Source organism: Homo sapiens, chromosome 5 (genome assembly GCF_000001405.40).
Source record: "Homo sapiens chromosome 5, GRCh38.p14 Primary Assembly".
In the NCBI taxonomy this organism is placed as follows: domain Eukaryota; kingdom Metazoa; phylum Chordata; class Mammalia; order Primates; family Hominidae; genus Homo; species Homo sapiens.
Genome location: NC_000005.10, coordinates 89,030,950 through 89,043,947, shown reverse-complemented (window position 1 = coordinate 89,043,947; position 12,998 = coordinate 89,030,950). Strand labels below are relative to the sequence as shown.

At 38.7% G+C, this 12,998-nt stretch overlaps 1 long non-coding RNA gene across 7 annotated transcripts in view; it reads right to left on the bottom strand.

The window, feature by feature from the left end:
• Positions 1-12,998, bottom strand: part of MEF2C-AS1 (MEF2C antisense RNA 1) — a 584,252-nt gene that overhangs the window by 423,634 nt on the left and 147,620 nt on the right. The window contains exon 4 of one of the 7 annotated variants that reach the window (NR_109941.1): positions 11,569-12,190. The exons of the other annotated variants lie outside the window; for them this stretch is intronic. This is a non-coding gene — a long non-coding RNA (MEF2C antisense RNA 1). Of the gene's footprint in view, positions 1-11,568; positions 12,191-12,998 lie in introns of those variants that run through there. 7 annotated transcript variants of the gene reach the window in all.

The following is a 12,998-nucleotide window of genomic DNA, read 5'->3' as shown; positions in this document are numbered from 1 at the left end:
AAACAAGCCATTTCCAGATTACCAGCCAGCAACACCACATCCTGTGTTACAGCTGATGATAAGGAAGGAGGCAGGTAGTTCCCCTGACACATCTAGGAAGCATCCTCCTTCTTCAAACAGAAGCACACAGCATTCAATTCCAGGCAACGTTTGTCTGACCTTGTGGTCTACTGAGCTGAAATGGTTACACTCTTCTTTTTCTCTAAATCTATAGATTATGTTTTTCCTTTGACATTTTTCCTTTTTTCAAATTTTCTTATATAAGAAAATAACCTCCTGGGGGAAAGCTGTATTGGCTTTCACTATGAGCCCCAGGTGTATCCTAATTAGCTTTAAAACTTATATATATATTTAAAAAAAAAAACTTCAAGTTGAAGACAACTAAAGCAACCAGCAGCCATAGTTTGGGCTAATTAACTCTCTGGTAATAGTGACTAGAAACTGTGGTCTCAAAGATGTGATGATGATGTAGCTACCCAGGATCATATCTGCTCTTTTAATTTCTTTTAAGTTAATCAGCTTAGTAATAATTAGCAACCTGAAATTATTTTTGTCTCTAGCTATTATTTATTATTTTCCTCTTCCATTTATGTGTTCTTCACTCTCTCCCAGCAAACCCCTCCAATCACCACTTAAAATACAGGAGTTTCCTTCTTCTCCCTCCTCCCCAAACATATGCAAACATACACTGAAGAGGGCAAACATAGGGTCTAATGTTTCTTTTGCATCCTGAATTTTGTATTCTCAGAACCAAAGGTAGACTGAGTATGAGCCAAAAGGGGGGAAAGTATTGTCATACTCCACTGTCTCAGAGAACTAGAATCTTTCCCATCTTCCTCATCTCCTCAAGGAAATGCTGTGCCCACTGGGAGTAGTCTCTTCCTAGCTGATCTGTAACATAAGGAAAACCACACCTGAGGTTATAGTTGGCCCGGAGAGAGACCTACATGCCCTAATCATGCACAGCTGTACAGCCTTCCGGGCTATCCTGTGACAGCCAGCAAGTGGGCTGGAAAGATTGCAATAAAAATGCACTCAGTCCTACTGACTCCTCTCTCATCACCCTATAAGGGAAGGTTCCCTTTCAGGACAGCCTATATTTTGTCCAGCTTATACTTTATATTGCCTAAGAAGTCTACTCAAAAAACTTAGACAAGAAATAAGTCTCTAATCTTCTATTGAGGAAAGAGAATATTGGCCTAGAATTCAAAAGAGCTATCCTCTCACTCCTTCTCTGCCATTAACTAGTTTTGTGGCTTTAAAGAAATCATTGTCTTCTCATAAAATTAAGCCACAGAATTTCTAAGGCCGCTTCCACCTCTAAAGGTTCTATGAAGGGACAGTTTTCCCATTAGCCCCTTTGAAGACTAATTGCTAACTTCTGTACAGATGTAAGGTGGATAATCAGACTCAAAGAAACACAGATATACACTTCATGGGACTTGAAGGGAATTTTCAAAGACACTCTTTTCTGAAATCAAGAGAGCTCTTACAGGGCCAATGTTGGTTATAATATCTACATGAAACATAATATTTTTCTGATACACTGATCACCAGTCAGAGGTTAACTTGAGATCCCCTGGTGAAGCAATAAAGCAACTTTAAAAGTTGAACTAAAATGAATATATATGACTACAACAATAGAAACACCAAATGAACATTTTAGTCCTTATTTTGTGCCAGACACGGAGTTAGGGATTTCTGCATGTGTTATCTCAGCGCAGCATTATACACACGCTCTGTCCTCTCATTCTGTTCTCCAATTATCCCCCCAAGCTGGCCTGCCATCTGCCCACCTCCTGCACAGAGATGTTGTATGAGAAAGGACCTTTATGCATAGCACACCCAATCAGCTCTTGTCCACCCTAAGGCCTTCCACAAACCATCATCTCAATTGATTGCCTCCCTGTGGAAGGAAAAGAGCTCCATATTTGTCAAAAAGAAAAGAAGTCTCTGTTTTTCTGGGTTTTTTTTTCCTGGTGTATTTCCTTCAAGTCTCCAGGAGTATTTTATCTACACAAGGAGGGACATTCTAGTGTCTAGATCAATATCTGCAAAAGCTTTTAAGCTATAATAACCATGATCTTCAGCACTCAGTATATTTTGACAAGACCCCCCTCTATGTCAAGTGAGATGAGTAAACTACAAGTGAGATTGGTAAACTCTTAGGCAGGAATTTTTAGACCCACTCTTTTCAGTAGAAAGGTCCATAATCATTAAGTCAAATGCAAGGGGAAAAGCATTCCCAATCATATAGTTTTAATTCCCTGTAAGTCCAACCAGCACAAACTTCATCACTACATTGTAGTGTTGCTAACTAATGAGTTGAATTTTGGCAGCCCATTAATCTTAATTTTGTAAACACTGATTTTTTTTTCCTGGGTTTTGAATGGAGCTAAAATTAGCTCTTTTTTTTTTTTAAGTTTAACCTCCATTTCAACTTCCTGCTACTGAGTTTTTTATTACAACAAACAGCTCTATCCTTGACCAGGATCTAAAAAGAAGTCAGAAGACTTCTGGGAATTATGACCCCACCTCTCATTTTGTTTCACACGCTTCCCTGTCCCCTTTGGGAAATTGACTTCTAAGGAAACTCACTTGAGGCTCAATTAAAACTACGGGCACAGAGAAGAGGGGGCACGTCCTCACCTTTTCCTCCCCAGTGAGGACTGTTTTAAGGACTAATCCTACATAGGAAGATTTTTGTGGGCTTGCAGGATAAGACAAAACTTGGAGGTGCACCACAGAACTCACTCATTTGACAATTGCTGGATCATCTCAAGTTACCCTTACAAGTATAAATGCCTAAGATGGAGACTGGAAGGAACTGTCCCATCAAAGGGAGCGTTCATGGCTTTCAATCTTTCCCCAGCTCTCTCTGGCTTCTTAGCCATTGCCATTTCGCAAATACAGTATAGGGAACAGCAGTTTTATTAGTGTAAGAGAATGTATGAACTACACTCCATTGAGTTACGATAGCTAAGACAGTCATTACACATGGCCCATTTTCTCATTATGCTCTCTCTTAGCATCTCCTCACTTACAATAGGCTAGTCTATCCCTCTTCCTTTTTCTCTGGGGTAGCCTATTCCAGAAGACTTTCAGCCCCTTCCCTTATTTTTCTCAAACCTACCGTATTGCAGCCTCCCAGACACTCTCTTCCCTTCTCTATTGCACTCCTTTAGTCTGTTCTCATGATTTCAGATTTATACTGTTAAATACCAGTCCAGTCTCTGAGCATTCTTTGCTCACTTGTGATAAACCAAACAATCACATTTCTTCCACAGAAGCATCCTGACATTTATCACTCTTCTTTAAGTTTTCATGTTACTCACTGAAATTCTAAAAGCAGTCGCCAAATCCATCTGTGAGGTAATCTTTTCACTGTATTGTATTTTGCTATATTAGTGGTGATGATGAGAAAAGGCCCAATTGTCAGACAGCAGACAGCCAGGTAGAATCCCGGTTCTCTGCTATATACCATTTCTGTGTCCTTGGGTACATTATATAAGCTCTCTGAGCCTGGTTTTTTTTTTTTCCATCTACAAATTGAAGATAGGATAGTCTCTGCCTCACAAGGTAGTTGTGAAAATTAAAAAAGATCCTGTGTGTAAATCTTCAGCACAGTGCCTGGCACACAATAGGTACTTAATAAACATTAGCTACAAAACAAAACTATACCAAATTGTTTTAAAGATTATATCCTTAGCTCCCAATTGCAGTTTGAGGGTTGTCACCCAGATGTACAATTCCATGTTTAGAAATATTTTATGCTAGAGAATGAGAAATATGGTATGTGTCTGTGAATGTAATTTTAATCTCTCCTATACTCACCTGCCTCCATATCTGAAATCAAGTAATAAAGGCCTGCATTTCATATGATGTTGTAAATTAGCACTAGGAAAAATAGAAAGAGGTAGAAATGTAGTCCCTCCCTTCTGAAATCTATCTAGAAAAGAAGGCACACTGCATAGTATTCCATGGTGTATATGTGCCACATTTTCTTAATCCAGTCTATCATTGATGGACATTTGAGTTGGTTCCAAGTCTTTGCTATTGTGAATAGTGCTGCAATAAACATATGTGTGCATGTGCCTTTATAGCAGCATGATTTATAATCCCTTGGGTATATACCCAGTAATGGGATGGCTGGGTCAAATGGTATTTCTAGTTCTAGATCCTTGAGGAATTGCCACAATGTCTTCCACAAAGGTTGAACTAGTTTACAGTCCCATTGAACAGTAAGAACACTTGGACACAGGAAAGGGAACATCACACACCGGGGCCTGTCGTGGGGTTGGGGGAGAGGGGAGGGAAAACATTAGGAGATATACCTAATGTAAATGACAAGTTAATGGGTGCAGCACACCAACATGGCACATGTATACATATGTAACAAACCTGCACGTTGTGCACATGTACCCTAAAACTTAAAGTATAATAACAATAAAAAAAAAAGAAAATGTGAGGCTCAAAAAAAAGAAAAAAAAAAAAAGAAGGCACACAATCGACAAGTAAATAATAGCCACAAGAGAGCCCATTCACAAATCTGTAATACTTGTTGGCTAAATGAGTGGCATAGACAGTTCTTTGAGTTAAGACAATCCCTGCCTGACATGTCCTAGGAAGTATTCAGGGAGTGAGAAGAATTCAAGCTTGGCCTTGAAACACGGGCCTGTTTGGATCAAGTTAGAAAAGTAGAGTGAACATTACCAGCAGTGGAATTTCAGAAAGAGTAGCCCAGAGTCTGGTCAGAATAGAGTATATTCAGTAGAGAGTTATGTTCAGAATTTTGCTGGAGCACAGTAGGAAGATTTTGTACCTACATTCAATGAAAGGCATAATGGGATTAACTTATGTTGAATTCCTGGGTATGGACTTTGACTTTGAATTTCCCATTGTGGTCCATTGAGTATGAGAAAGAAGTTTCATGTGGAGATCTCCTAGCAATTGATAGTGGTTCATTAGAAATCTGTGTTCTTAGGCCATGGGCTCTTAGGCAAACAAAGAATGATTGATTACTAATGTCTACCATGAGGAGTGGGAAAGAGGTGGCCTATATGTTTTAAGTCCACCATGCAGGCAATACAATGTGAATCAATGAGTGCAATTTTAGACAAAAAGTAACATGATAAAAGAGATGTTTTAAAAAAGATCAATTTGGCAACAGATCATTGGATGGACTGCTAAGAGAGACAAAGCAAGAAAACCAGACCTGTTTTGCCAGAACCAGGACAGCAACCATGTAAATAAACATAGAAGAAGGAAGGAATTTAAGAGATTGTAACGGCAATTTGGCCAGGTGTGGTTGTGTGTGCTGGTAGTTCCAGCTTTTTTGGAGGCAGAAGTGAATTTCCTGAGTGCAGGAGTTTGAGGCTGCAGTGAGCTATGATTATGCCTCTGTACTCCAGCCTGGGCTTACAGAGTGAGACCCCATCTCTTAAAAAAAAAAAAAAAAGTAAAGAAAAGAGATTTTATTAAAAGCAAATCAATATACCTAGCACAAATACTAAAGGGTCTTTAAATCAAGTTGAGACATTTTGATTCTTGAGAAGGGTACCATATTGGCTAGGTCTTATAACAGGAAAGCCTGGTTTATTTCATTCATCTATTACCAAGTATTGTCACTTAGCAGAAAGTAAGGGCATTTGAGATGGAGTACAGATAAGCTCAGACAGATAATAGATAAAGAACGATTTGGATGTGGTGCCTTCTAAGTTCAGTGAGTATTTTGGTGAACCTGGTAAAAGTTTGATGGCAAAGCAGGGGCCCACCTAGAGGGAGTCAGTGACCATGGGCAGAAATGGTGGAAGACACTAAGCATAAATCTTGCCTTTGTCATGATTTTGACCAGTAGCTCTGGCCATGGCTTATTTCACCCACTCTTATCTTTCCATTTTGTTTACAATGTGTACAAAATGGCACCATGGCAGTTAAGCCAGAAGCAAAGACACAGGGCTGAAGCCAGATCTAGTTTCAAGGACAGGTAACTCAAAAGACCTCTTGGAGCAAGGGCAGAGGGAAAAGGGACTGTCCCTATAATCATTGACACTGCAAGTTTATTTATTTATTCATTCATTCATTCATTGAGGGACCATTATACATGAAGCTCTGAACTAAAAGCCATTTCAGCCAGGTGCAGTGGCTCATTCCTACAATCCAAACACTTTGGGAAGCTGAGGTGGGAGGATCACTTGAGCCCAGGAGTTTGAGACCAGCTTGGGCAACAAAGTGAGATCCTGTCTCTACAAATAATGATAATAGTAGCCATTTTAAAATTATGAGTAACGTACATATCCTCCAGACACTTACGCTTGACCCAGCAGAAAAGACATGCATATATTAAAATGAAGGAATACAGTGAGAAATGGCAGAGGCCATAAATAGCAAATGTCCCTGCCTTGTATCTAGCCAGTAATAGTCTTGGATATGCTGCTTTCTGGAATGTCATCAGTAAGATATCAGAGGGAAATTCACAAGTTAGGTGAAGGGACGTATGATCTGGGAGACAGGAATAACCACTCACCTAAGTGCTGAATCACAGCGATTCCCCAAAGCTAGACAAAAGGGAAGAACAAATAAGAAGGAGCTGTTTGCAGAAGGACTGGCCCTGACTGGGGCTCCCTTCTCATGGCACAAATATGTTGATTATGTATCTCCAACCAGGCTGAGGGAAAGACGTTTAGAACATTTCCTTAGACAATGGTCCAATTGAGAGGTCACTTCCTGCCACTTTCCATCCCCTGAGGGGGAATCCCATACTGGCTCCCGGTACACAGTGATGGCTGTTGAAAGCCAGGGTTCCGAACAAATGCCTGCTTGCCAGAGTCATAGGCTTCTAACTTTGAGGGTAAGAGATGAATTACACATGAGTATTCATGCTAAAATGTCCACTCAAATATAATGCAATCTGTACAGTTTTTCCATTCACATCGTTGCAAAGTAACTGTCAGTGTTTTCCTATGCTTCGTTTACTCTATATTTTTTCATATCATCTGAAAAACAGAAATTCATTGCTCCCAAATGAGCAACATTTTGAACTCAACCCTGACCCTCACATGTAAAAATCTGTGCCGTTGAAAAGAAACATAAAGTGTTTTGTTGTTTTGTTCTGTCTCTTCCCCTGAAAGCCATCCAAGGGCAGAATCCTGTTGCCTGCATTCACAATGAAGATGACATGGAAAGAACATGGTATTTTAGACAGAGCTTTCAAAAAAATCCATATAAGGGCAAAAAGAAACATTTGATGCTGAATTCTTTCCTAATTTAAGACATTGAGTCCAGTTTTAATTTTTTATTTTTTCGAATAAAGGAATAAGAATTTTAAGGCAAAATGCTCCTGGGATTTCTTGTGTGAGCTGAAAGAAGTGATGAGCAAACATTGTCCAAATCACTGAAGGAATTCCAGACAACCTAAATGTCCCCTTTGTGTGCGTGGTCAGCACCAGCCTGCACAAAAGATCTTGTCCTCTCTGGCACCCTCGTCTTCATCACTTGCGTCTCGGCATAACTCCATACTCTAGAATTTTAAACATATTTGTGTGTTGTTTTGCAACTGCTGCCAAGTTACTTCATAAGAACATTGCATAACCTGATATGATGCTTATCATAGCAGATGATCCGCACTAGAATCACCTGAGGTTTCATTAAAATGCAGATTTCTGGCTGGGTGCAATGGCTCATGCCTGAGATGCCACTACTTTAGTAGGCCAAGGCAGGACGACTGCCTGAGCCCAGGAGTTCAAGACCAGCCTGGGCAATATAACAAGACTTTGTCTCCATACACACACACAAAAATTCTTCAAAAATCAGCTGGGTGCAGTGGCAGGCACCCCTTTAGTTATAGCTACCAAGGAGGCTGAAGTGGGAGGATCGCTTGAGTCCAGGAGTTTGAGGTTGTAATGAGCCACAATCATGCCACTGCACTCCAGCTTGGGCAACAGAGAGAGACCTCAACTCAATTAAAAAAAAAATCCACCCAATGTAGAGTATCTATTTAAGGGGCCTGGGTATCTGCCCTCTAAGAAGACAATCCTGGGGTTTGCAACCACTTTGTAAAGAATGCTGGACTTTGAACTCTAATCTTAGTTCCACCATTAAACGTTCACTGTGGACTTTCAGTCAGTCATTTAAGTTCTGTGCCTCAGTTTTTTCAACTGTTACATAGGGTTATTGTGAGGTAATATATGGAGAAGTACTCATATATATAAAAAAATCATGTATGCACCTGTGAATTCCTTAGTGAGATGATAAACTATGAGACCCAGGAATCTCTTTAGAGTATTTTCCTATTGGCAATGTCATATTTGTAGCTAGATTTCTGTAAATAGCTGATTAATAAACTATATAGCATATTACAAGTGTTAGAAGCATTTGCACCCTGATACCTTGAGAAATTCAATTAGCCCTCAGGAGTCCAGACCAGTATAGGATTTACCTTGGCACCTTTAACACTAACCAGGGTCTTCCCTGGGACTTGCAGTTTAATTAATTATCAGAGTTGTCTCACAAAGTTCATAAGGTGGACATGTAAGGCCTCTTTGCCAATTTATATAACTGCCAACGGAAAAACAACTCATGAAGCCTGATAAGTCAAGTTGCCCTACCCAACAGAAGATTAGAGTAAAAAGTTTTGTTTTTAATTTTAAAAAGTTTTATTCAGGACAGTCTTAATCAGTTTGGGCTGCTATAACAAAAGTATCATAGACTGGGTGGCTTAAACAACAAAAATTTATTTCTCAGTTCTGTAGGCTGGGAAGTTTGAGATCAGCATGCCAGCTGATTCAGCTCCTGGTGAGGGCCCTCTTTGTGATTTTCCTTGCTGTATCCTCACATAGCAGAGAGAGAGGACTCTGGTCCTTTCCTCTTCTTATAAGAGCACTAATCCCATTATAGGGCCCCCCTCATAATCTCACGGAATTTTAAGTACCTCCCAAAGACTTCACCTCCAAATGCCATCACACTGGGGGCATGAATGGGGAGAGGACACAAACAGTCCATAGCAAGGACATTCTTTTATGCTTTCTCATGTCAAATATTTGAGAACTATATGATATCCCTATTTCACAAACAAATAAACTGAATCATAGGGAAGTTAAGTGGCTTGTGATATGTCTGTCTCCAGGAGATGGAAAGACCTGCCAAAGGGTGGAGCTGACTGCATGGGCCTGCAGGGTACCCAGAGAGTGCTGAGGCTGTCAGCTGATGGTCACCACGGTGACTCATTTCTGCTCTGTTCCAGGGCTGACCAACTCTCTTTTTCTGAATGACATATTTATTTCTTTAAATATGTTGTTTTAATTCTGATTTAGGTCAATTGTATTGGCTCTGAAGACGTCTTGTGAAGTCAGTGTTACCTCAAGTTCATTTTATATGGTAAAAGGATGAACTCTTTTTTACATGAATAGTTACACATTTATGATCATGGTTATTAGGAAAATATATATAACCAGTATGTCAAATCCTAATTTCAAAAATAGTATTACAAACATGAGGTTAATAACTTAAAATGATGAATTCATATAAAGTTAATTTAGTGAAAAACATTAAATAATTGTTTAGGTATTACAGAGATATCAACAATTTGTGGAAAAAGTTTACCAATAACAGAAGCTTGGGCTGGGCGTGGTGGCTCACACCTGGAATTGCAGCACTTTGGGAGGCCAAGGCAGGCAGATCACTTGAGGTCAGGAGTTTGAGACCAGCCTGTCCAACATTGTGAAACCCCGTCTCTCCTAAACATACAAAAATTATCCAGGCATGGTGGCGCATGCCTGTAATCTCAGCTACTCAGAGGCTGAGGTAGCAGAATTGCTTGAACCTGGAAGGCAGAGGTTGCAGTGAGGCAAGCTTGCACCACTGCACTCCAGCCTGGGTGACCAGAGTGAGATTCTGTCTCAAAAAAAAAAAAAAAAAGAGAGAGAGAGAAAAGAAAATAACAGAAGCTTGGGAAAGATGGCTTTAAATTGACTTTGTATACCTTTCTCTATTCCACTATGAGTTGACTTTTTAGTTAACTTTGAGAAAAGAATATGCATTTATTTTGAAGTTCTTCAGGGAGTGCCTCAAGGTAGCTTCTTTGAGCCAACAACATATATGACCTCATCTGATTTTAAAATGCTGATTATATGACCCTAAATCACACAAAATATAAAGATAGTAGTAATAGCTCCTTTTATTGACTATTAGCATGAATTTACACACTGTTCTAGTCATTTCATGCATACTATTGTTCATTATCAGAAGAACTCCTGTAAGACAGGTATCGTTATCCCCAATTTACAGGTGTGGAAACTGAGACTGTAAAAATGGAAAACTCCCTACAGCCCCATAACTTACTACATGTCAGTGCAAAAAACCTAAGCAAAGCTGTCACTTCCTTAAGCCCTTGTTCTTTTTCCAATACAAGTTACCTCTCTATATTAAATTTCCTAAAATATATTGCAAAAGTATTTTTAAATGCCTTACATAGTAAAGTTTTGGTGAGTATACTGTACTTGTTGAAAATCCAGAGGCTGTGGGGTGTGTGTGTGTGTGTGTATGTGTACTGAATTGATTCCGTTTTTAACTGGGTCATCTTTGGAGTGGTCTTGTCAACCAACGGTCAATACCTATCCCCAATCAGGGTCAATCAGATTTTCTTTCTTAGAAATCTAAGCTGAAGACTACTTGGCTAAAGAAAAGAGAGAACATGTAAATGTGGATGCTGTGAGAAAGTAGATGGAATGAAGGATGAAGAAGCAGAGAGAATACTGAAGCAGAGGTACACCTAGAAGCAGAGAGGGGAGAGAGAGAGAGAGACAGAGAGAGAGAGAGAGAGAGAAAGAGAGAGAGAGAGAGAGAGATCCCATCCAGATTCCTAGATGCAGTCCCTCATGAGGCCCAGTTGTTCCATCTCCTACCCTGGTGCTCTGTGTGGTATACTTATAATAAATTCTTATGCTTTAATTAAGCTAATCTGACATGAGTCCCTGTTACAACCAAACAGTGTTAATACAGTTGCAACATTGGAAAGAAATGTCTCCTTAAAAATGCTTTCCAATAAATAACCATGAACACTTCAGTTTCAGGTGATCATCTACTGGTAGTGACTGTATGACAGATCATTTCAGTTAGTTCTAAAAGTCAAATGCAGTCCACTTGACTACACTGTAATAAGTACACATAATACACAGATAAATGACTAAGATTCTTTGATGGGTTTGATTAAATTGCCTATATTTGCACCACAAAGACATTCAAATGAGAAAATGATACATACACCCCCTAAAAGAGCAGAGTCACAAAAGATGGCCTTTACGTATCAAATAAACCCCAGTTTGTCTCCTGTAGTTCCCTTTGAGTTGCTTTCTCCACTCATCCTGCCTTAACCATTCTTACCAGAAACTCCAGAATATTTTTTTGCCCAGACAAAACTAGAAGCAGATTTAGCAACAAAAGCATGTGTGTTTAAAAATGGCCCCTTACTTAGCATGTGTTAATACGATGGTGCATACCAGAGGAACAAAATAAAATAATCACAAGAAATGACTGCAAAACACAAGCATTCTGGATAATTCAAACCTAAGATTTTTAGCTGGTTAAAACAATTTGGTTTTTATTTCATACATCACCAAAGTGAGACATTAAAGAAGACTCTATGCAGAACAATTTTTTGTTTTTCACCCATGTTTTCCCTTGAGTTTAAGAAATGAAAAAGTAGAAAACCATAGCATTTCTTTCATTGAATTAATATTTAAAAACGAGTTTTAGCAATTAAAATCAGATTTTCTAAAACAAGGAAAAAATACATCTGGGTAAAATGCTTATATTAAAAGTTTTAGTAGAATATGGATTAAATTATTGGCTTTTAAACCACCCTGCAAAGATGCTATTGACTCTCTATTGGAAAAATCAGTTGTCCAAAGTAGTACAACATTTTGACACTAGTAAAATTAAAAGCTAAGTTAAAATTTGGAATAAATCATTTTCAAATTTAATAATACTAGAAAAATCTAGAGTATAATGTCTTCCACTGCAACTGATCTTTTACTGATTGTTTTAGTTCATTACAGAGATTCTTCAGGCTATAGCTATTGAAACCTGCAGCTTGATCCTCCAGTAGACTTGGGGCAGCAAATTCACATGGGCATGAGTATCCATTCTCTTCACCTTGATTCTTTTGACTTGAAAGTTGTTCTTTTCAATGCTTCTGCCCAAGAGAGAAAAAGCAAATCTAGATGTGCTTTTTCTAGATGTGGGAGGTGTCTTTGCTTTGTGAGTTGTCATAAAAGTTGTCAGGTGCTAAAAGATCTAAATGTTAAGAGACTACAGCTGAAGTTATAAACACATGCTTTTAAAGAAAAAAATCCTGAGAGTAATACATTAATATTATTATATATCATGCTGTAGAGGAGTTTGCTCCTACAAAGTGAATACTTTACTGAAAAATGACCCAGCAGAAGTTGGTTTTAAAAGAAAGAATGTATATAGCTGAAGTTAAATATTTCTGTTTTGAAATGTGCATTACAATTTGAATTTATCAGACCACTAAGAGTAAATATTAGCCACTAACAATATAATTTACTACCATATAGCAAAGTAATGGACCAGGCTAACCATATACTAGAGAATAAGCAACTTCCTAAGCAAAGTCTAAATGTCTCCTAAATTCCCACTAATGATGCTTTTACCTCTAGTTAATGTCAGTGGAAATCTGTAGCTGTTAAAACGCAAATACCTTTGAGTTTTCATACAAACTCTTTCTTCTGCTTACAAGGTCCTTCCCCTTACTCCTTTCAGAGACAGAAGTATTTTTTTTTCTTTTTCTCTCAGTTTAAATGTCATTCCTTTTACCACAGTTTTCCCCCATCAGCTTCTTCCTTTTGCCCAACCTCCACTGCAGTAGAATTAACAAATTAATCACGCACTCCTGTGTTATACACAGTGTTACCATAGCATTGTGTTAAGTAGCACAGCACTTCCGTTGTGTTATAATTAGCTCTGTGTACATGGGTCTA